The sequence below is a fragment of the Homo sapiens genome, chromosome 2, assembly GCF_000001405.40.
Source record: "Homo sapiens chromosome 2, GRCh38.p14 Primary Assembly".
NCBI classification, from domain to species: Eukaryota; Metazoa; Chordata; class Mammalia; order Primates; family Hominidae; genus Homo; species Homo sapiens.
The window spans coordinates 33,302,176-33,327,980 of NC_000002.12; the positions used below are offsets into that span (position 1 = coordinate 33,302,176).

Below are 25,805 nucleotides of genomic sequence, written 5' to 3' on the forward strand. Positions count from 1 at the left end.
GCTTATGGAGCGGGGAATATCTTCTCCCAGTGGGCTTCTTTTTCACTTTTACCACCGGTCTGTCACTTGTGACCTTTCTCTGCATTCATTGTCCACCTAAGTAACAAGCTTTTTCCCAGCCCACCTGAGGTTTCACTGCATTTAGAGCCTGTCAGTTGTGAAACCAGAAATATGCATGTTGGCAGGGTTGTGTCTCCCATGCAGGGTCCAAGTTTTTGAAGGAGGGTCTGAACCCCACCTTTGAGAGAAGTGGATGAGCCTTTTGGTGAATGGTTTCATGACACACACATTTCAGCAGCCCCAGATCCTTTTTCACTACCAGTCCAGTGGATTGGGAAAGATCTATTGTCATTTACAGCATCTACATTTCTGACCAGAGAACTTGGCAGAAGCAGTCACAAGTGGCTGAGCCCCATATCCTCCTGCTGCTGGGAGTGTAAATGACCCAACCCTCGGGAAGGCAATTTTGGCAGCGTTTTAAAGGCCTTAAAGTGTATACTGTTAATGAATCAGTAAATCAACTTCTAAGATTTTATCCTAAGGTGATCATGTTCCTCAAAGAGTTAATAACACCAGTGAAAAGTTGTAATCAATATACCTATTGAGGCCAGATGTGGTGGCTCATGCCTGTAATTCCAGCACTTTGGGAGGCCGAGGCAGGTGGATCACCTGAGGTCAGGAGGTCAAGACCAGCCTGGCCAACATGCTGAAACCCCGTCTCTACTAAAAAAATACAAATATTAGCTGGGCGTGGTGGCGCCCAGCTAATATTTTTACACACACACACACACACACACACACACACACACAAACACACACAAACACACGCACACACACCCCTATTGAGAAATAGGTCAGATAAGTGATAATATAAGATAGGACTATGTATGAAAAAGTTGTGTTTTAGGAACTCTCTAATATATGGGTAAATGATAATGATTCTAGATAGTGACATCCCAAGGTGGGAGGGTTGGTGGTGTTGGAGGGAGACATTTATGGAAGAATCTATTCTAGAACTAAGTAACTGGTAAGGTATATTCTAGGGCAGTGGTCCCCAACTTTTTTGGCACACAGGGACCAGTTTCGTGGAAGCCAGTTTTTCCCTGGATGGGGTTGAGGGGATGGTTTCAGGATGAAACTGTCCCACCTCAGATCATCAGGCATTAGTTAGATTTTCTTTTTTTTTTTTTTTTGAGACGGAATCTCGCTCTGTCACCCAGGCTGAGGGCAGTGGCACGATCTCAGCTCACTGCAAGCTTCGCCTCCCAGGTTCACACCATTCTCCTGCCTCAGCCTCCCGAGTAGCTGGGACTACAAGCACCTGCCACCATGCCCGGCTAATTTTTTTGTATTTTTAATAGAGACGGGTTTTCACCGTGTTAACCTGGATGGTCTTGATCTCCTGACCTCGTGATCCGCCCATCTCGGCCTCCCAAAGTGCTGGGATTACAGGCGTGAGCCACCGCACCTGGCCTGCATTGGTTAGATTCTCATAAGGAGCGTGCAACCTAGATCCCTCACATGCGCTGTTCACAAGAGGGTTCGCCCTCCTATGAGAATCGAATCCAGCTGCTGATCTGTCAGGAGATGGAGCTCAGGCGGTAATGCTCGCTCCCTGCTGCTCACCTCCTGCAGTGCCGCCCGGTTCCTAACAGGCCACGGACCCGTACCGGTCCATGGCCCAGGGATTGAGGACCCCTGTGCTAGGGCACTAAAAATGTAAACTGACCATCAGCATCTCCTCTGTCCTGATTCCTGGCCAAGCCAAGAAGGAACTGCACCATTGATTAAGTCTTGGGTAACTGATGTTCATTGGAGGGCATGTTCCTCGCTTTGTCTCTTTTAATGTGTAAGCATTTTAACAGAAGTCTAAGGTTTTTATTCCAAAAACATCCATTGCATGAAAAGTCAAACAAAAGCTTTTAGCAAACTCGTTCTTCATTATTAATGTATATAAGATATGACTATGTTCCGTAAGAAAGCTTCTTTTGGAATATATAATCAGGCCCTTTTAAAGTCAGGACTAGTTTCTCTAGTGTACTGGGTTATAAATAGGACTGGAGTCCATCCAACTAATTTAGAGCTCCCTTTGAAACTATGTTAGCACCTCAGCCTGCTAATTCCCAACTAGCAATGTTTCCGACCCTCCCCAGTGATATTTAGCCATAATTAACTAAACCGTGACTGTTCACACGCCTCTGACAGCTGTGCAAGGAAGAGCCATCTTTCTTGTTGGCTTTTATGTTTACACGTGTAATTTTCCCCTAATGGTTCTGGCAAAGACCTTGTTTTCTTATTGTCCTGTCATCCTGCTGGCCTCCTCGTAGAGTCAGACTCCCAAGTGTTGTGCCTGCTTCTGTGCGCTACTGACTCCAGCATGCTTGGTAGCTAGTCATTCTGTGATAATGAACGTGCCTCAATTGTCCTCATTCTTAGGAGTCTGGAGCATCTCAGCTTTCAAAGGCTCTGCCTGTGACTTGTTCCCTCCAAGCACAGTCTTTAATCTCGTGTCTACCTTAACCTTTCCCCAATCCCTCACTAAGGTTGCTCCCTGCAGTCCTTTACAAAGCTGAGAAGATGACTCATTACTTACAATGTCTTTCCCTTTCCCTCTGTGCCCTTTGCTCTTGGTCATTTATTTGTGGACAAAATTTTAAAAAGGTGGAAAGGTGGGATAGTATTTCTTTCCAAATCAGAGTCATTCATACATTCACTTATGTATTTGTTCAAATATTTATTTAGTGTGGAGCTTGTGCCAGACACTGTTCTAGGCATAGGGCAATAAACCAAACAGAAATTTCTTCCCTTTTGTAGCTTACATTGTAGTGTGGGAGATAACGAAAAAATACAATAAATGGCTGGGTGCAGTGGCTCACGCCTATAATCCCAGCACTTTGGGAGTTCCGAGGCAGGTGGATCACGAGGTCAGGAGATCGAGACCATCTTAGCCAACATGGTGAAACCTCATCTCTACTAAAAATACAAAAAAAAAAGAAAAATTATCTGGGTGTGGCGGCGTGTGCCTGTAGTCCCAACTACTCAGGAGGCTGAGGCAGAAAAATCACTCGAACCCAGGAGGCAGAGGTTGCAACGAGCCAAGATCACGCCATTGCACTCCAGCCTGGGCAACAGAGCAAGACTATGTCTCAAAATATATATATATGATAAATAAGTAAAATATATAGTTCGTTAAATGGCAATAAATTTTACAGAGAAAATAGAGCGGGGTATATGGGGAGTGTTGAGGAAGGGTGGTGATTTTAAATAAAGAGGCAAGTAGAGGCCTCGCTGGGATGATAACACTTAATCATTTATGGGTAGAGCATTCAGTTCAAGGGAATAGCAGATGCGGATGCCCGAGGAACCAGCTATGTGGAGACCTGAGGGGCACCACGTCAGCACTTTCCACTTTTGATGCCCAAGATGAATATTTGAAGGAAGATATCTGAAAGGCAATTGTATCTATGCATTTGGAATTTAGGGGTGAGTTCTAGGCCATGAAATTAATTGGGAATGAGTGTAGCTAGAAGAGAGATAAATCCCGGGCCCTCCAACATTTAGAAGTGAGGAAATGGGTAAGAACCAGCAAAGGAGATTGAGGAAAAAGTGGCAAGTGAAGAAGGAGAAAACCCAGAATCCAAGAGAAGAAAGTGTTTCAAGGAGGAGGGAGTGATGGATTGTGTCAAATGTTATTGCTAGGTAACAGAAGAACCAAAAGTTAACCATGGGATTTTTAGCAAGCTGGAAGTAGTTGGTGACCTCAACAAGCTCAGTCTTGGTAGAAAGATGACAGTGATTCACTGTTCCTGCCCTTAAAACCTTTTACTCTACTTCTAGGAAAAATATATATTTTCGCACTACCCCAGGTGGTGGTACGAAATAGTACCATGTTGTGCTCTCGTAATGTTCAACCTTCTTATTGCTTTGAAGACAGATAAAGGCCTTGCAAAAAAAAATTTAAACTAAACCTAACCCTAACATATGCTCAGCTTTCTAATGTATATAATTATTTATAAACACTTTAAATAATGCTCTTTTCCCTCACATTCATTATTTGTCTTAGATTTTGGAAAATAAATGAGAATCAAATTGCTTTAAAGTAGCATGAACAGAGCCGGGCATGGTGGCTCACGCCTGTAATCCCAGCACTTTGGGAGGCCGAGGCGGGTGAATCACTTGAGGTCAGGAGTTCGAGACCAGCCTGGCCAACATGGTAAAACCCCATCTCTACTAAAAATACAAAAATTAGCCGGCCGTGGTGGCAGGCGCCTGTAATCCCAGCTACTGGGGAGGCTGAGGCAGGAGAATCGCTTGAACCTGGGTGGCAATAGTTGCAGTGAGTCAAGATCACGCCACTGTACTCCGGCCTGGGTGATAGAGCAAAACTCAGTCTCAAAAAAAAAAACCAAAAACCAGCATGAACAGAGCAACATGCTTCCATTATGCTGAGGCAAACATCTAGGTTATGAAGTGTTTTTTCTTGTAGAAATTCATATTCCCAGGATTCTCTTATGATCTTTTTTGAATTGAGTTTTTTATTTAATGTCACTGATCAAATATGCTTCTCCTCGCTTCATTATCTCCATTTCCTACAAAGCAAAGAAAGAAAGGTTAATGGAAAAACTGATTGTCAGTCGGGTGCAGTGGCTCACACCTGTAATCCCAGCACTTTGGGAGGCCGAGGCGGGTGGATCACAAGGTCAAGGGATCGAGACCGTCTTGGCCAACATGGTGAAACCCCGTCTCTACTAAAAATACAAAAATCAGTTGGGCGTGGTGGTGGGCGCCTGTAGTCCCAGCTACTTGGGAGGCTGAGGCAGGAGAATTGCTTGAACCCGGGAGGCGGAGGTTGCAGTGAGCCGAGATACACCGCTGCACTCCAGCCTGGCAACAGAGCGAGACTCCATCTCAAAAACAAAACAAAACATAACTGATTGTCTACTTTACACCCATTAAAATAGTTGTAGAGCTGTCAGAGTAAATGTGGAACAATCGGAGTTCTCATATGTTTCCTGTGGGAATGTAATTGCTACAGCCACTTCAGATAACAGTTTTTCAAAACTTAAATATAACCTAATTCCATGACCCATGCATCGTTTTCCTGGGTATTTACTCAAAAAAGGTAAAATCATATGTTCACACAAAGACTTATGATTTTAGAAATATTTATAGAAACCTTATTCACAATGGCCCAGATGGAAACAACCCAAAATGCTTATCAAAAGGTGAATGAGTAAACAAATTATGGTGCATTCATCCAATGGAATTCTACCCAGCAATAAAGCACAGAGAACTACTGATACACACAGCAACTTGGGTGAATCTCAAAACTATTATGCCGAGAGGAAGAAGCCCCAAAGCACAAAAGGAGTGAGAGGGAATGTATTGGGGATGGAAATGCCTGTTCCTTGACTGGGATGGTGGTCACAAGGATGTGTATACATTTGTCAAAACTCATTGAGCTGACTCTTAAGTAGATCAATTTATTTTATGTACATTATACTTCAGTAAAGCTAGAAAAACACATTAAAGAAAAAGTTGAGAACCTGCCTTAGTTGAGACAAATTCACATCACCTGTGTTTTATGTTTTAGGGTCAGTACCCGGAAGCATTTTAATTCTGGGTGAACAGTCATTATAATAACGTGGTTTTATTTGATAGAAAGAAGTGATAAGGCACTCTCTTATTTCTCTTTTGTTTGCCCTGTGAATAGTACAGAAGCCTGTTAATTGGTTGATTGGATTCTAGGAGAAAAATGAAATTCGGTATCACCGTACTTGAACCAGACAGCCGGGCGTATTAGACAGATGGCAACAGTCTCCATATTCACTTCTTCCTGGAATCTCTCATATTTTGGCAGCAATTACAATTATTTGCAAGAAATGCCATAAAATGCCAAGTTCTGAGAAAACAAAGAAGGTTTTGTTTCTTAGCTTTCTTCGTTGCTAATAACTTAAATCCTCACATTCACAACAGAAGAGGGCTCATGGAGTACATTAGGAATAATGTGCTTTGACTAGGGGTAAACATGGTAATCAGCAGCCCTTGAGAAAGATCTGCTCGCATTCATGCGGTGAAGGGGAGCCATTAATTGTCTTTCATTCTCACAGTCAAAACTCGTTATTGGTTATGTATACCACTTTTAGTTGCGCATTTGCTATGAATTTTTTTAAACATTTTTAAACATTTTTTAAAATCCAGGCTACCTCAAACCTGTTTGTTACAGCTGCTGAATAAGTGACTTAAACTAGGTTTTTGATCTTGCTGTTCTCCTTCTGTTCAAAAGTCCCTCTTCTTCCGACTCCCCCATATTCTACCCTACTGTGAAATTTACTATAAGTAAATTTACAGATATGCTTCTGTTACACAAAAGTTTTATTTTAAACTTTATGATATTCTTTGTCTAAATGCATATGACCCCTAAAGTTGATGCTACTACTTTGTCAGATAATTATATTTTGTGACAATTCTTATGTTACATTGGTTTGGACTTATAAAACAATGTAATATTTTATGTTTAATAATACAATATCATTTGTTTATTTTATTGTTAATAATACAATATAGTTTGTTTCTTTGAACAAACATTTCTCTTGGGGACAAAGACCATGCTGAAAACTTTTAAATTTTTTTCTATAATGCATAATACAGAAGCTTGTATAAATAGATCAAGTGTTGCTCAAGATACACTTAATAAGTATTTTTGAAATATTTTAAGTCTTTATCATCACCAACAATATAATCAAGTAAATTATTATTTGCTACAGAATTTTGACTTTTCCTCTTCCATTTAATTTCATTTGATGTTTAAAAGTTCCATTTCTTGGCCAGGTGTGGTGGCTCATGTCTGTAATCTCAACACTTTGGGAGGCTGAGGTGGGCGGATCACTTGAGGTCCGGAGTTGAAGACCAGACTGGCCAACATGGTGAAACCCCATCTCTACTAAAAATACAAAAATTAGTTGGGCGTGGTGGTGGGCGCCTATAATCCCAACTACTCGGGAGGCTGAGGCATGAGAATCACTTGAACCTGGGAGGCAGAGGTTGCAGTGAGCCAAGATAGCGCCACTGCACTCCAGCATGGGTGATGGCAAGACTCCGTCTCAAAAAAAAAAAAAAAAAGTTAAAAAGTTGTCATGTATTTAAAATTATGTATTATAAATGATGTAAAATAGTGTACCTTTACATGTAAGAGAAATGTCTAATTTTCCGATATGTGATTTATTTAGTCTTTAAAAATTTTTAAATTGGTTTTTAGATATCAATGAATGCTTGGAGGACAAGAGTGTTTGCCAGAGAGGAGACTGCATTAATACTGCAGGGTCCTATGATTGTACTTGTCCGGATGGATTTCAGCTAGATGACAATAAAACATGTCAAGGTATTTCTTGCTCTTTTTTCCCCAGTCATTATTTACGTAATTCTTCAATTCTGCCATGTTGCCAGATGATAGTCTGTGGTTTTGCCATGTGATTTATATGTAAATAATTTATGTCAATTTTTGATATTAAAATAGCTGTCTTGGGTCCACATCAAGTGCAGGAAGGTGTTGCTTTGTCCAGCATAGTGTCAACTGAAACTCACACGAGTAAGAGCTGTGTCCTCACTGCGTGCTTCCGTCACCTGTACTTTACTGTTTATTCCATGCTGTAACCTTGGTACTGGGTTCTAAATTATCTTTATAGCATCTTTTATGGGCATATTTTATTTTGTCTCATAGGTGGTATTTATCTGTCCTTTTCTGACTCTATTTTTATCCAGTGCCCGCCATTGCTTTTTTTTTTTTTTTGAGACAGAGTCTCGCTCTTGTCACCCAGGTTGGAGTGCAGTGGTATGATCTCGGCTCACTGCAACCTCCACCTCCCAGGTTCAAGCGATTCTCCTGCCTCAGCTTCCTGAGTAGCTGGGATTACAGGCGCCTGCCACCACACCCGGCAAATTTTTGTATTTTTACTGGAGACGGGGGTTTCACCACCTTGGCCAGGCTGGTGTTGAACACCTGACCTCGTGATCCACCCGCTTTGGCCTCCAAAATGCTGGGATTACAGGCATGAGCCACTGCACCTGGCTCACCATTGCTTTTTCTCTTCCTAAAAAGCCTCACTAATAATTTGGTCAAAATCATGAAGAAGAGGATCTTATATTTTTTCAATGTGCTGTCATGTTTAATCTTCCAAACTGTACAGTGCATGAAGGGTACTAATGAAAACACAGCAACACAACACAGGTACTAATAATAACAATCACAGCAGCTGTAACTGAGCTTCTTCAGTGTGCTGAGTACTGTAGGTATCTTGGTATCTCTTCGAATTCTTACAGCAACTTCAGAGGTAGCTTTTCTTGTATTCATTTTGTGCATGAGTAACTGAGGCTCCGAGAAGTTAGGGAGTATGCTGCTCTCTAATGAGTGGTAAAGTTGAGATTTGAACCCAGGGTCTTTTCCCACTACTCTTCCCTACATTGCCATACCAATTATTGTTACATTTATAGCCAAAAGAAAGAAGAAAGTGAAATTAAGTGATTTCTCTCACAAGGTAGCCCATTGAGTCATTTCAACACCATAGCTAAAAAAATTAAATTCTCTAGGTTCTGTATCCCAACATTTTTAGCTATACCTGACTTGCCCCACAAGCTTTCCTCTATTTACTAGTGTTAGTAAACCCATGTTTATATTTTCCATGGAAAATTCACACTTATTTTACCTTTATATCTGTTTATTTTTGATACCCAATAAATGTTATTTTTTTCTTATTGTTTATCTACCATTATGGAACTGTGTAGTGTATCCCAAAGCATAAATAAATAAAAAAAATTGTTGGAGTTACTTTTTACCCACTATTACTGAATATGTATGATTTTTTTAAAATTCTGGATTGCCATAAGTTATATCTCATCTCACATGTCCCAAATAACAGTCTTCTTGTAGGAGAAGATGGTATCTACTCTCTAAGATAGTGGCACTGGAATTATATATCTATATTACCGGTCACACCCAGCCATGTGTCAGAGATATGAAAAACACGGACCTTTGCCACAAGGTTTTTAAAAATTAATTCCTTTACTGATCCAAAGATTTAAATATACACCTTCCTGCACTTGATGTGTACCCAAGACAGATATTTTAAAAATCCCAAGATTTAAATATACCATGTACCTCATTTGAGATCATGTATTTATTTGCCATCCTCATGCAATAAGGTGAAATTCAATTTTTTCCAATGCAGAAATTAAATGTGCTTGGACTTAATGCAAAAGAGAAGGAATATTTGAATTATAAATATATGTGAGAATATTTCCACTTTGGGACTATTACCTTTTAACAAAATGAATCTTGATTTATATAAAAATACCAAGAGATGGAAAAAAAAAAAAAAAGGAAACCAAACCCTGACTCTTGTTTTTATTATAGGCTTTTTGGCTTAAAAGTATATTTTCTTTTCTAATTCTTCTCGTCACAATTTGTTTTGGCCAAATACAGGCAAAACCAAATCTTAATAAAAATGGACCAAGATTTCATATTGCATAAATTTAACTTCTAGAGTTCAGTCACACGGAACTAATTTAGTTATCTGATTCATTAATTGCACTACTTCATTCTCTCAATATATTAAATTTGTGTCTGTGGTTTGATATCACCTCTCAAATATGTGACTACTCCAAACATAGAGAGTTTTATTGACTATCAATCATTATTAAATTGACTTCGTTCTCTGTCACATATATTCCTATTTTCCAGAATAAGTTAATATGTCTGAAAAATGTAAATCCAAATAAATGAGAAGCATTTCTGAAGTAGGTCTTAGTACTGTTTAAAGAATAGTGTCTGTGAATCTGTTTTATCACCCACCACCTCCTGTTAGAAGCTGTATATGATGGCATGTATATACTCACCTCGTTTTGAATTATCCCTTTTCGCTCTTTCACTAGAGGCAGTTTTGTGATCTTTCACTCTGCCTGAAGTTAGTAGCCTACTTTTCTCTAATCCCTTGATCATGTCAGCATTCTGTGGAGAGGTGTAGATTTCAGAGTTTGTTTAAATTCTGAAAATGTAATTGATGGCAATGCTAATAACCATGGACATGTTTGAATAACAGTGTGTGATAGGCATAAACTTTAAACCTTACCTAATGTTCTGAAAATACTTCTATATTCAGTAAGGCATTTTCAGTTGGAAGCGTGTTTAAGATTTTCTTTCCCATACAAAACTAATGATGATATACAGACAGTATGGAAATTCCATGTTAATAGTCTCTTTAGAAATGTGGCAGGATACATTTGAGATTCAGAATGCAGTTCAGTTTCATGTTTTGATTTACGCATGCCAAATTATGAATTTCTGTGGAATCGCGGACCCATGAAAGAAACCCAACTTAAATATAGTCTGGCTTTCAGCTTGAAGTTACTAGCAGCATAGTTTAGAAATGCCTCAATAAGTACAATCCAAATTGAATGCATATGTTTCCCTAGTTCCAAATATTCATGTTGTTCTTTCTTAGCAGTTTCCTGGAAAAAAAAAAAGTCTAGGAATTCATCTTCAGTTCCCGTCATCAAACTTTTTAGACAATTATTTGTGTTAATCAGTGACTTTTTTGATGAAAAAACTTTGTGCACATTATTCCCTATGCAAAGTTGCAAAGCAGGTAGTTTTTAAAGGGCCACACTGAGGCATAGGATAAAATAAGAAGAGGGGTCTCAGGTAGCTATTAGGGCTTAATAAGATGGATATAGGTCCTGAGCTTGATCCCCAAGCCAGTGGAACTTCATGCCACCTTCTTCCTCAGATAGAGGTAATTCTTGGGCAGCAGGTTGGAAATAAAGAGTGGATCTGAGGACCAAAAGGAGGTCAAACTTCAAAAAGGATGGCCAATCTAAGATATTACCAATAGGTAGAGAACAAACATAGACAATGTCAGAGATTTTATCAAAGAAGTAAAGAATTTCACAGAGTAAAATCATATTGAGAAATACATAAGTAGAAAATGATTCATTGACCTTCCTTGAAATATCTAAAAACTAGTGACAGTAACAAGAATAGGAGAATTGTTAAGAAAGTATGAGTAATTCCTGTTGGGTTTCTTATTTTTATTCAGCGATGGACAGGCCAAATAATCTGAATTATGTTGCAGATGGAAGGCTAAAGAGTTCAAGATTAATAAAGGAAGACGTTTAAACCAATAATTGCCAGAATTTCTGTTGCACGGGAAGATCAACAAGTCAAAAAGAAGAGCTTCAGGAGATTCTGGCTGTAGGGAAAGGGATGACTTTATTGAGGACCACTGGGTCAGTGGCTAAGCGTGTTGTAGCAGCCAATAGGAAGAACATACATTCTGTACCTTTTCCCTGTCCTTATTAAGCTTTGCAGTATTCATGTGGGTTCCTGTACTGAAGACCTCTTTTGTAAGAGATAAAGGGAGGGCCTACGAGACTTGGGGAAGATAGGAAAACGACCTTAGTGGAGGTATGCCTCCTGAATGCTGCTGCTAAGGACATGGGATCATTTTTATGACCCCCAATTAACTAAAAGAACCTTCACCAGTCACCATTCAGTTAGCGGAGAAGGAAAATAACTGAGAAATTTTGTGGTGGACAAACATTCATAAGACCCTGCAATGTACCCAATAGGAGTCAGGAACTCAGAGCTTTTCAGCTGAGATCGTTTATCAAGGAGCCATCAGTGTAATGAGGGACACAGATGAGTAAACCAACAATTAGGCAGTTGCATGTATCAGAACCATTGTGAACAGGTGAAACTTTCTCTAGGCGCTTTATGTTGTCATCTTGGGCACTGTTAGCCAATATAATTAGAACTGGTTTGAAAGAGCCTTTTACTTATAGTAAACAGTCCATGTGTTATCAGTGTTTGGAAGTAGCCCTTGACCCTGGCCACGGGGAGCACAATTACACTGAGGACAAGCTGAGCATAAAGTCGACAACACAAGTGTATGGCATGATCTGTTCATGAGTCTTCTTAATAGTAGTTATTGCTTTTTGACGCTTCATTGTGTGGTAGGCACTGCCCTGAGCCCTCATTCGCTGATTTCATCATCGGAAACCATGCAAATACGAATTTTCATGGTCTAAAAGTCCTTCTCAGCCAAGCATGGTGGCTCACCTCTGTAATTGCGGCACTTTGGAAGGCGGAGACAGGAGGATCACTTGAGGCCAGGAGTTCCAGACCAGCCTGGGCATCATAGTGAGACCCCATCTCTGCCAAAAATTTAAAAAATTTGCCAGGCATGGGGCCAGTACCTTAGTGCCAGCCACTCGAGAGGCTGAGGAGAGAGGATTACCTGTGCCCTGGAGTTTGAGACTGCAGTGAGCCATGATCATGCACTGCACTGCAGCCTGGGCAAAAGAGTGAGACCCTGTCTCTAAAATAACTAAACAGGCCTTCTTTTACTTGTATTTTATTTCTATTACCCATTTCCAATGAGTTATAGATTGGAGTCTATTTCATTTATATATTCAGCAGACATTTGTGAAGTGCCATTTATGAGCCAAATACTATAAATAAGACATGTCTAGCCTTGCCCTTAAGAAGCCCACATCCTAGGGATGGATAGGCAGGAATGTAACAAGGTACTACAGACTATAACAGCTGTGTGCATGGCAATGGGAGAGGGCAAAGAAGGACAGCATTCTCACCAATGAAGAGCATCTCTCAGAGTTGTGGAGTATTCCTCAAGCCCCATATGTCTAAAATAAGGGTAGCTTTGGGTTGAACCTATGAAATTGCTTTTTTTGCAGGTCAAAAATGATTGTACATTGGCTATTTCCTAACTCAACCTAAATAGTTTCTCTCTCATAACTCAGCTTGTCCTGTGGTTGATTTATGGACAAATGGTATAGTTGTTCCACTAAATAAATGTCCAGCCATGTCATAATAGATTTATTTGCCATCTGTTTGATAGTATATGGGAATGAAACCGATTTTTTTCAAGTTTTTAAGACTCTATTTTAAATTACAGATATTAATGAATGTGAACATCCAGGGCTCTGTGGTCCGCAAGGGGAGTGCCTAAACACAGAGGGTTCTTTCCATTGTGTCTGCCAGCAGGGTTTCTCAATCTCTGCAGATGGCCGTACGTGTGAAGGTAAGATAAACCATACGAAATCATATTGTTGTGTGATAAAAGAGAGAGGAGATTGCTTTCACTTATACAAAGACTTGAAGACACTAAGAGGTACTGCATAATTCAGAGCCTCAAAGCATGTATGCATCAAAGTAAACCATATCTGAAAGCATAGCTCAGGGGTTGCTGGGATTTACGAAGAGGATAACCTAAGGTTATGATGATAAAAACACTCACAGATGGCTCCACGACTGGTACTGAATTAATGAGTGGAAATGTGCAAGGACTGATAGGAGACATGTAGGAGACCTAAAGGAAAACTGTGGCAACTTCCCTTTCCCCTGGGACTCTGCTTCTTTTGATTGTGCTTCATGTAGATCGTCTTGATCATTCTGTGTGTAAAAAATGTCTTGCGGCTGGGTGCGGTGGCTCACACCAGCACTTTTGGAGGCCCAGGCAGGTGGATCACTTGAGATCAGGAGTTGAAGACCAAGCCTGGCCAACATGGTGAAACCTCATCTCTACTGAATATACAAAAATTAGCCAGGTGTGGTGGTGGGTGTCTGTGATCCCAGCTACTTGGGAGGCTGAGGCAGGAGAACCACTGTAACCCAGGAGGCAGAGGCTGCCGTGAGCCGAGATGGCACCATTGCACTCCAGCCTGGGCGACAAGAGTAAGACTCCGTCTAAAAAAGAAAAAAAGAATGTCTTGCTTGATTTTTCTGTATCACTGTGAACAGATCTTCTAGAATTCTTCCCCTAATATCCTTATTTCCAAGGCAGTATATTTACTTACCTACCAGTATTTATTATCTCCTAAAAGCTAATTAAGTTGTAAGATGTTAAGATAATGCTCTTGGCTTCCTACTTACAACCTCTGTATGTTTGCAAGAATACAGCACTGGTTATTTTCATAAGATTTGTGTTCTTGATGATAATTTACCTGAACCATTTTAAAAGTAAACTGAAAAGATTCCCATAATCATAATTTCAGTTGATCTCTTTTGAGAATCTAGATTATTGAAACTCAGCTATATTTTAAAGAAGTAAATTGCAAAAGTTTTGTTCTGGGTCTAACATAGTGCCCAGATTCTTTGCTCTAAAAAATAGTGCAACAGGAAGTATCTGCTCTCCTTGCTAGTACCAGAATGGAACCAAGCCGTGTGCCAGCAACCAGGTTCATCTGAAACTAATTATTATATTGGGAGGAATAAACTGATCTTGTAAAGAGCAGAAGATTGTTGAAATTACTCTCCTGCTGAGCAGACAAAACATGGATGCCAGATTTGACTAGAACTGGGAGAGAGAGAGTTCAGGGTGGATTGAGCAAACAGATTGAGGGGTTTGGAAGGGATAGGAAGTTGGGAAATGGAAGAAAGCATCATAATAATGTGGGTGATGAGAGATTTAGAAGAAATCCCTGCTTCAGTGGTTCAAGTTTTATGTAAATTTTATATTTGGGGCTTTGAGACCAGAGCTTTTAGCAAAGACACTCCATGAATGCATACATTCTTCTGCAGAGATTACAGTATTCCTCAGCTTGAGGGATAGGGTGCAAGCCCATCCGAGTCACTGAGGAAACAGATTTGCAGAATTCCTAAGCTCTAGAAGGATGCAGGTTTGCTTCTTTGCTTAGCTCTAAATCATGGATGGTAAAGGCTTGCTTCCTAAGAAATGGTCTGTGGTATAACTACTGATGGTTGTGCCATGCAAAATTATATTCAGAAAAAAAAATAAGTGACCTCAAGTGCTCCCTAGTCAAAGCTGTTGTTCCAAAAGAATATACTAAACATAAATATATTCACAATTATTTTGTCTTTTGCACTTACTAATGATTTAATTCTGTACTTTTTTAACACAGATTTCTGCAACTTGAGAGTTGCATAATCACTGTAATTTAGTTGCAGCTCTAATTTTGTTGGTCATTTACTTGGCAAAGACTTGAATTTAAAAATGTGGTTTTAGGAAACTTGTAATGCTTTATAAATTACTGTACTCATTGAGTATACTCTTTGTGACACCTGGTCTGTACTGCCTTGACTCCAGAACCTGGACAATTTTATAAGTAATGAAATACAAGTTAGAATATTATGTTGGTATTATACATGGTAGTATAACTAGAACTCTCCGTAATTATTATGCATGTTATTCTCTTTCTGGAGTAAGTTCTGCATGAATTTTATTTTTTATGGGCTTAATCCAATATTCTAAATTGGTCCAAATTTCCCTTTGTTAGACTCAGTCTGACACTTATGGCAGTAGTGCTATGTCCTGATTTCTACCTCTGGCTGTGCTGCAGGACAAAGCCAGCTCATGTGATCAGTATTCAGCAGTGAGGCTGATGTGTGATTGAAATTTAGCAATGGAGCAGTTGTACATAGTACTTGAATTAACACTGAGAAGTGGCTGGCATTCTTATCTCATGTCCATTTACTGATTTTCTTCTGAGCTTCTGTTTGAGGAGCTGAAGCCTCGTTGACACCAGGGCTGACCTGCCCGGCTCTAAGCAGGGCTAAATAACTCCCACATAGCTGAAGGAAGGAGGGCCCTTCCCTGATTTCCCGTGACTTGGAGAAGTGTCAGCATCTGGTCGTAGTTAATGAACCACAATGAAGAGGCAAACTCTGTCAACATGAATTGTCTTTAAGTGTAGCATGGCAGCTTCTATAGCAATAAAAATGGCACCACTGGCTCCTTCCTTTCTCTTACATGTATAGATTGAGTATTCCTCATCTGTAAATCCAAAATCTAAAGCACTCCACATTCTAAAACTTTATGAGTGCAGATGTGATGCTCAAAGGAAATGCTCATTGAGCATTGCAGATTTTAGATTTTTGGATTAGGGATGCTCAACAGGTAAGAATAATGTACACATTCCAAAATTACCACCACCCCCCAAAAAAAATCCCAAATCTGAAATACTTCTAGCCCTAAGCATTTTGGGTAAGGGATACTCAACCTGTATATGGTACTCTGGGATAGATAGCTGGGAGAGGAAGGAGAAACACCGTGGTTCTCCCATGTAAGGTAAAGAATGGTGTAATTCACAGTTCAAGTGAAGTGGGAAGTAGGTGGTGGGTGGGCAGCTATTTGTCATTTATTCACTCACGTAACCGGTATTTACTGAGTTCCTATCTGGTTCCAGGCCTTGTTCCAAGGGTAAAACATACAATTCTTGCCTCCATGAAGCCGACATTCCACTAGGGGAATTGGGGATAAAGAAGCCAATGGTATGTGTAGGATACATTAAGTGTTTATAACACAGCATAGTTACCCTTTCTGGATATAAATAAGTGCAGAGTGTAACGTGTCATATATAATATAATACACAGGATATTTTTTTCAAATCCCAGACTTAGATGTCAGGAAATTGCAGGGGAACAGGACTCTTCTGATTGACTTCTGCTACACTTCCCTTTCCTCTCTCAGTTATAGTTCATCTCCTCCTGCCACCTTCCTTTCACGCTATAGCCAGAGCTTTTATCTTGTGTATTAAAACAAAGGAAACTTTTTCTTTCACTCAACTCGTTGTTTTATGGTCCATTTGATCATATCCATTTGTTTAGCAAAAAATCATAATTCTTTTGCCTTTTTATTTCTGCCCTTTTTTATTGTGGAATTTTAATTCACATGAAAAATACTCATCATCAAGCCTGGGCAACATAGCAAGACTCTGTCTCTACAAAGAAAAATTTTTTTTAATTAGCTGGACATGGTAGCTCATGTCTATAGTCCCAGCTACTCAGGGGACTGAGACGGAAGGATCGCTTGAGCCCAGGAGTTCAAGGCTGCAGTGAGCTATGGTTGCACCACTGTACTCCAGCCTGCGTGACAGAACCAGACCCTGTCTCTTAAAACAAAAAATCTGACCAGGCACAGTGGTTCACGCCTGTAATCCCAGCACTTTGGGAGGCCAAGGCAGGTGGATCACCTGAGGTCAGGAGTTCGAGACCAGCCTGGCCAACATGGTGGAACCCCGTCTCTACTAAAAATACAAAAATTAGCTGGGTGTGGTGGCAGGCACCTGTCATCCCAGCTACTCATGAGGCTGTGGCAGGAGAATCACTTGTACCCAGGAGGCAGAGGTTGTAGTGAGCCGAGATTGCGCCATTGCACTCCAGCCTGGGCAACAAGAGTGAAACTACATCTCAAAAGAAAAAAAAAAATCCTTATCATTGCATTCATAAGCTGATTTGAGATTCGGTCTCTTCATCATCAGTAGAATGTGTGTGGGAGAAAATTAGGGAAACTTAATGGTAATCAGATTCCTAGGGGTCACCACGTCTGTCCCCATGGCCCATGGGGAAAAACCTCCTGATCTCTGACTTTGTGTCACCTCTTTTCCATGCCTCCTTCCTTGCTGCACTTGGCCAGGAACAACTGCGCTCTCCCAGTCGTGTGCCCAGGCTGAGCAAGGGCTTGTGTGACTGCCGTGGAGTCCGGCACACCCCCCATCTCTAGGCTCCCTGTGCACTCTATCCTGTTCACATGATACAGCGGCCATGTTCATCTAGCAGGGACCCCAAGGAGCCCAGCCACACAGAGGGAGCACCAGCAGCTTATAGGACCTGGCACTTTTCCCTCTGGTGTTGGCCAGGCTTGGTTAGTCATGGCTAATTAGGCCTCCAAACCATGGCCAAAATCACTCCCTGAAGTATTGTCTTTTAGAAAGCATCCTCATTCATTCCTTCGTTTGACAGATATTTATTAAGTGTCTACCTGTGTGCCATCCACTGTTCTAGGTACTGGGGCCTTGTCAGTGAAGAACAGCAAAAGATCCCCACTTACTTAGAGGCAATAACTAATAGATAACTAAGATGTTAGAAAGTGTGATAAAGGCTGGGCATGGTAGCTCACACCTGTGATCCCAAGCACTTTGGGAGGCTGAGGCGGGTGGATCACTTGAGGTCAGGAGTTCGAGGCCAGCTTGGCCAACATGGTGAAACCCTGTCTCTACTAAAAATACAAAAATTAGCTGGTTGTGGCCGTGCACACCTGTAATTCCAGCTACTCAGGAAGCTGATGCACGTGAATTGCTTGAACATGGGAACTGGAAGTTGCAGTGAGCCAAGGTCACACCACTGCACTCCACCCTGGTGACAGAGCAAGACTGCCTCAAAAAGAAAAAAAAGCGTGATAAACTCTGTGAAAAAAAAAAAAAAAGAAAAGGTAGAGCACAATATGGGGGACCTGAAGGGTAGAGAAAGAAGTGGAAAGCTGCTTTGATGCTAACTGGGGTGGTCAGAATCGGCTTTTCTGCTTCTGTAAGTGAAAGAAATACTGAAATTTTCTGAGTGAAGAAATGAAGCCATATGAAGTGCCTGTCATGTTCAAACTGGTCTTCTACTGGCGAAGTGATAAAAGCCCATCAATAAATAGGTAAGGGAGCATGAGATGGCAGCCGAGGACTTTCTTGCAGCTGTCAACATGAATTCTATTGTCCAGACAAGAATAGAAAATCAGATAAAGTACAACGCCAAGAGTTGTAAACACTTGATGTAAACTATGGACTTTGGATGATAATGATGTAAGAGTTCATCAGTCATAACAACTGTATGTACCAGTCTGGTGCAGGAGACTGGCAGTGGTAGATGCTGGGGGCTGGTGTGAGGAAGACAGGATATAAATGAAAACTCTCTGTGTAATCTTATTGGGAACCTAAAACTGCTCTTAAAGTCTTTTTGAAAACTCAGACATATTTTTGGCATTACCTTTTTTTTATTGGAAAGGAAAAATGAAAACCTTTCATTTTATTAATAATTCTATATTCCACTCCTGTATTTTCTTCTCTTGGATGATGATGGTGATATTATTTCTCACTTTTCAAAATAATACCCTGGACTGAGTATGGGATCAGCAGCTTCTCCTCCTAGTTTTCAAAAATGATTCTACTATTTGATTGAAAAATTGAGCACTGCAAGACTGGAAGAGGGCTTCTTGTCACATCTAGCCTGAACTCTGACTCCCACAGTATACCCAAAGTATTCAGGAATCAAGTCCTATTGCTAAACATCTATAGAGACTCTAACCCCATAACCTTCTTAGGTATTTACTATAAATCACTCCTTGCTTACACATTCATCTGAAATGGAAACCGGTAAAAATTGCCAATGCGTTGACGTGTACTGAAAGTAGTGATATCACAACCGAGAGAAGGTGGATTCAAACTCTCAGGCTAATTTTGTATTCATTGGGAACCAGAAAACACAAGAAAGACAACATTGCCAAATCAAAAAAGTAACAAATTGGGAGCAGACGTGGGGTTTGTTTTCACACTTCTAGGTACATTTTCTATGAACGGGGGAGAATGAAAGCATAAAGCCGTGGACAGTGCCCCAAGGCAGTTGGTGGTTTTGTGGCATGGATATAGAACTTTATATCTGTCACCAAATAGAAAATGCTTTTGAAAATGACTCAGCCAAGTGGGATGCTGAAGAACTCTGATGCAGTAATGTGTTACATGTGGTGTGCTTAGCCCAAGATTTTCAGGTTTTTAAGAGTTTTCGGGTCTGAAACTGAAAACTGTACTAAGAGATGATGATTTTAGTATTTCTTAGTAGAGAGAATTTTAACAACAGAATCCACTCTCTTCCATGTGTAAAAAGAAAAAGGATCATACAACATTCTAGGTAAAGAAAGAAAGTGGCTTCCAGCTATAAAAGCTACTGTTCACACTCACTCTTCCTGTGAATGTACTTCTGCAGAAGTGAGTGAAAATGAATGTTTAAATCATTAGGGAGAAAGCTGAGGAAATTTTTCTGGAATGAGTTGCTTTTGGACTTGAAATGCAGATTTTCCATGCATTGCTTGATTGTCTTCCATATATCAACATTTGTATAAAGAAATTCATAATAGTAGCAAAAAATTTGAGATCTCTTCCTAAGCCTTTTTTTTTTTTTATCACTGCTGACCTTTTCAAACCCCAGAGCTATGGAAATCATCTGTTCATAGAAGGAGAAGTAAACACTTGCCTTGCAGCCAAAAAATAGGCAGAAGACTGCCAGAAAGTGAAGTCTGTGACTAGGCTAGCTGACCTTGCATACCGTATGCTGACATCCACTCATGCTCTGGTGCTGGGCGTCCTACATCTGACTCCTTTGATGTCAACAACCCGAGTCCTTTTTAGATCATGGAAGGTTATTGTAAGCAGTGTTTTTGTACTTGAGACCTAAACTGTAATGCTTCATACACATATTCCAGAAACAGTTACTTTTTAGACATGTGATAGAATATTAAGCAACTATCTTGGTCTCCCACTATGAGTGGACTGGAGATACATTATATATCTGATTGCATGATTTTATTAAAACAGTAGCAAGAATAATGTATAATAGCATTCACTGAGTTCTTATTACAAGCCAGGCACTATGCTAAGTGCATTGCACCTGTCTTCTCATTTAATCTTCACAATAAATCTGTAAGTAGGTTAAGTATTAATTGGTTTAATTTTGGCTGCAACAAACAGCTTAGAATGAGGGCATTTATTATACGAATGAGAAGTATAGTACAAGATTGTTACCTCTTGCCTCCTGTAGGTCCGTATTTAAATGCTGTTTCCTTAGTGAACCGGTTTCTGACCGTTCTTTCTCAGATTCACTCACCGTGTAATGAATGAATTAATTCACTTCCTGTTCTTTTTTCCTTTTGCTTTTTTTATTTCTTTACCACCTTATTCTACTTCTTTACCTTGTTTATTGTTCTTTGTCACACTCCATTGCTAGACTTTAAGGCCAGTGAGATCGGGATTGTTTTCTGTATTTTTTACAGCTCTGTATGCCATTGGGAATACAGATGCTACTCAATTTATGATAGGGTTATGTCCTCATAAATGGAAAGTCAAAAATGCATCAAATACACCTAACCTACCGAACATTATAGCTTAGCCTAGCCTGCTTCTAGCACATTCTAAACGTGCTCAGAACACTTACACTAGCCTATAGTTAGGCAAAACCATCTAGTACAAAAAAAACCCGATTTTATAATAAAGTGTTGAATATCTCATGTAATTTATTGTACTGAAAGTGAACAGAATGGTTATATGGGAACTCGAAGTACAGTTTCTACTGAATGCATATTGCTCCTGTACCTTCATAAAGTAAAAAAATCGACTAGGCGCGGTAGCTCACACCTGTAATCCCAGCACTTTGGGAGGCCGAAACAGGCAGATCACCTGAAGTCAGGAGTTCGAGACCAGCATGGCCAACATGATGAAACCCCATCTCTACTAAAAATGCAAAAAATTACCCAGATGTGGTGGCACACACCTATAGTCCAGCTACTTGCGAGGCTGAGGAAGGAGAATCGCATGAGCCTGGGAGGCGAGTGAGCTGAGATCACACCATTGCATTTCAGCCTGGGTGACAGAGCAAGACTCCGTCTCAAAACAAACAAACAAACAAAAAATCATAAGTGGAACTATCCTAATTTGGAGACCATCTGTAATTAGTTGGGGCACAATACGCATTTGGCAAATGAATCAAGGGAGGAAGGGACAGTCTGTAGCTCATCCTGGAGTACTAGGAAACATTCTTAATAAGATTACTCCAAACTGAATGTGATGTACACTTCTGTGAAGCCTTCCCTATTTTTTGAAGACTTAATTCTCTAATGCACACCCTGCATAACTACTGGGTGTAGTAGTGGCTAAGAAGTTATGCTGGTGAGTTTGGCTACATGGGCTTGAACTCTTGTTCCAGCACTTCTAAGCTGTGTGAACTTGGTGAGTGCTTCAGTTCCCTCTCTGTATAGTAAGAATAATAATAGCACCTACATGGAGTTGATGTGTGTTGGCAAGTATCCGCCGAGAATGGAGTAGCCCATAGAACATACTCAATGAATGTGAGCTATTGTTACTATTTTAGCATTTCTTATACTGGTACCTTAGTTACAGCAGTCCTTCCTTATCTGCAGTTTTACTTCATGTGGTTTTAGTTACCATGGTCAACCACAGCCTACAAATATTATAGTATTTTGAGAGAGACTACAATCACATAACTTTTGTTACAGTATATTGTTATAATTGTTATAACAATTGTTATAATTGTTATAATTTTAATTATAATATAATCACAGTATATTATTACTATTAATTCTTACTGTGCCTAATTTATAAATTAAACTTTATCATAGGTATGTATGTATGTATGTATGTATGTATATATATGGAAAAAAACACAGTATATATATATGGTTCAGTACTATTTGTGGTTCCAGGCACCCACGGGGGATTTTGGAACACATCCTCCACCAATGAAAAGGAATGATTGCATTGTCATTGGTTTCCTTATTATGTGAGCATCTAAAAGGAGGGAAACATTTAACAACTATTTTATTTTTATATTGTCAATGCTTACAACATATATAACATGCAGATTAAATACATACTTGTGAATGAAATTGTATGGTATTTCCAAGTTCATGTCCTGATATTGATGAATTACTGTATTCTATCTTTTTTTTTTTTTTTTTTTTGAGACGGAGTCTCCTTCTGTCACCCAGGCTGGAGTGCAGTAGCGTGATCTCGGCTCACTGCAACCTCCGCTTCCTGGGTTCAAGTGATTCTCCTGCCTCACCCTCCTGAGTAGCTGGGACTACAGGCATGTGCCACCACACCCGACTAATTTTGTTTGTTTGTTTTTAGTAGAGACAGGGTTTCACTCTGTTAGCCGGGATGGTCTCTATCTTCTGACCTTGTAATCCACCCACCTCGGCCTCCCAAAGTGCTGAGATTACAGGCGTGAGCCACCGCACCTGGCCTCTATTTTTAAACCCCATATTTATTTTAAATCATATAGAATATAGTGTAGTAATTCATTTATATATAATTTGCTTTAATTCTTCACCCTTTGTTTTCCCTGAGAGTTTCATATGACTCTTTTCCATTCACCCACAAAGTAGTTCCAGCTTTAAGTCATTCCCTGTATCAAGGGCTAGTAAGCTGACAGCCAGCACTGATGCTTGTTTGCATTTGAGCATTGGAGCTCTTATTTCTAGAGGTACACTGTCTATTTTCTGTGGTTTTATAACTGATCTTTCTTGGCCTCCTATTTGAATATAGAAAGAGAAAAATTAGAAAATATAGAAAAAAGTGAGAATTTTTTGGCTGATTTTATGTTGCCTCTGAGGCCTAAGTGTCAAAAAGATGAATCTGGGGTTTGATATGTTTGGCCTGTCTGTAGGGCTTTCTCCCAGTCCTCACTGGCAGCACCTTTTAGTGTAAGAAAAGCTGTATGAAAAGAGAAAGCGTACAGCATGGATCTAAATTTAGAAGACATTTATTTTTCTTAATCCCAGATATAAATACGTAAAACTATTACATTAATTCCGAGACTATCCAGTGGTTATATATAATTATGTAAAGACAAAGTAATAGAGCCTTTTAAAAACTTAGAACAGTGTAAAACAAAATGTATATTTCACATTTATCTTTTGTGAGTAATTGGAAGAAATTTACAAATGAAGTTAAGATTTTCCCTTAATACCTAAAGAACTGTTTCTGAACATCGTGGAATTTATTTATAATGGAGCTAAAACACTCCACTTTTTTGACATTGTTCCTTATTTCATAGTAAACTGTAATTCTTTACCTACAGGTGTAGAAAGGTGGATTTTGGGGGCTTTCTTCTTTTTTTCCTTTAAAAATTTTAGAAGTATTTCTTTTCTATAACAAATTCAAACCTTCCTCATACACTTTTTCTGTTTTATAACACTGTCAGCCCATGGTAGAAAGAAATAGGAAGAAAATGTCTTTAAATTTAGAAATATACTTTGGTTCTCTTTTTCTGTAAAGAATCACAGATGACTTATAGTGTTTATAGTTTTTGCTTTTGTTAAAAAAAAAAACAGTGTTTTGTGTTTCATTAAATATATACTACTTTTCAGTCTAATTCAGAATATTGCTTTAAAATGTCCCAGATACTCAGTTTTGAATTTTCATGTATAATATCAAGGTTTTATTATAATTGAACAAACATCTGGCACACACAATGGCTTTCTCACGCAGCACCTCTCAACTCCACCCCGTTTCTCCATTCATGGAGTGGGGAAGATACATGCCCAGCACAAACTGCGTGTTTGCAAAGCTGTTAATGACATAAATGTCCTTTCCAGATACAAAACCTGAGCTTTGTGAGCTCCCTCAATGAGGAAAACTGTTTGAAACAAACCACTTTCCCCATTTTCCTGGTCATTCACTGAATGAGCTTGTTGATACAGTTCGAAATGTAAATGCTGGCATACTTTTATTGGATTAAAAAAAAAACAATCTAAACTGACTTCAGTCATGAGGATATTCATTCTTGACCTTATTTGGGATGATAAAGAGAGAATCTTCTATACATTTACCCTGCTTTTTTGTCTTCAAAGCCTACTGAAAATGAGAATGAGGGATATAATTTATTTATTTATTTATTTATTTATTTATTTTTTGGAGGCCGAATCTCGCTCTGTTACTCAGGCTGGAGTGCAGTGGTGCAATCTCAGGTCATTGCCGCCTCCGCCTCCTGGGTTCAAGCGATTCTCCTGCCTCAGCCTCCCCAGTAGCTGGGATTACAGGCACGTGCCACCACACCTGGCTAACTTTTGTATTTTCTTAGTAGGGAAGGGTTTCTTTCACCATGTTGGCCAGGCTGGTCTCAAACTCCTAACCACGTCAGTCTCCCAAAGTGCTAGGATTACAGACATGAGCCATTGCACCTGGCTGATATAATTTAAATACTTTAATAATTCTTAGGACTCTTGGCTGTTCAAAAAAATCAAGATGTTTAAAAATGCATTTTAGATTTTACTCCTCTGTAAAAAACCATTTGCTGTTTATTTTTAAACGTTTGAAAGGACATGTGGAGTGGGGAAAGGAACCAGGCCTTGGAGCCCACTCTCAGTGGTTCAGATAGACTCTGGGAAGGGGGTGAGTCCAGTGAGGACCCTGGAGACCTGGACTGATCCAGACCCAGTGTCTCCTTATGAATGCTTTACAGTAAACTATGACCTATCTTTTGAACATGAAATAGGTCTTACTTCCGTCTTCTATCATTTTTTAAAACATTCATAATTCCAAAGCCTGATGTCTTAGAATTATTACTAGGATTGCATTCTCTTCTGAATATATAACAATGCTGTTATACTTCTAAGAAAACGATTTTTTTTAATGACATAATAATTCTCCATCACCTTCTACAAGACTAAAGAACAATAGAATACTGAAGACAGAGGATTCAAATAACTCCCATGACATAGAGTGGGTCATGTACAAATGGAGTTGAGTTTTTAAGGAAAGATATAGTAAATTACATATGTTTCTTATTTTTGCTTATATTCCTATTTTAAAAAAAGTAGCTTGACTTCATTTTGCAGTTGGAGAAAAATAAGTTATAGGGTATTAGAATGTCTTCCAATAAGCAGATAGGAAGTGGTGGTCAAGATGACTACTCAGAGTGCCTTAATATTTCAGTCTAATATATATGCCACAATACCTGTAACCCATGGGAAATAGAAAAGCAAAGTTAGCTTTTGAAATGGTAAGAGAGTCTCTAACCAGGAAATGCAGCAGTGTGGATTATCTCTTTTTTTTTCAGTAAACATTCAAGTTGGTGTTTAAAATGCATGTAGAGGGCCGGGTGCAGTGACTCACGCCTGTAATCCCAGCACTTTGGGAGGCTGAGGTGGGTGGATCCGAGGTCAGCAGTTCGAGACCACCCTGACCAACATGGTAAAACCCATCTCTACTAAAAATAC

At 39.6% G+C, this 25,805-nt stretch overlaps 1 protein-coding gene across 65 annotated transcripts in view, besides 1 other annotated feature; it reads left to right on the forward strand.

The window, feature by feature from the left end:
* Positions 1-25,805, forward strand: part of LTBP1 (latent transforming growth factor beta binding protein 1) — a 452,557-nt gene that overhangs the window by 355,223 nt on the left and 71,529 nt on the right. For all 65 annotated transcript variants that reach the window (XM_011532853.3, XM_011532857.3, XM_011532861.3 and 62 more), the window contains 2 exons: positions 7,259-7,381; positions 12,969-13,094. In XM_011532853.3, the coding sequence (XP_011531155.1) occupies positions 7,259-7,381; positions 12,969-13,094 (249 nt within the window). The remainder of the gene's footprint in view (positions 1-7,258; positions 7,382-12,968; positions 13,095-25,805) is intronic.
* Positions 6,909-7,107: a silencer, noted in NCBI's record as "fragment chr2:33534151-33534349 (GRCh37/hg19 assembly coordinates)". NCBI's record gives its function as "represses an EF-1alpha promoter that drives an FKBP-Casp9 reporter gene in an ReSE screen in phorbol 12-myristate 13-acetate-treated (for megakaryocytic differentiation) K562 erythroleukemia cells {active_cell/tissue: K562(+PMA)}" and the evidence as "EXISTENCE:reporter gene assay evidence [ECO:0000049][PMID:32094911]".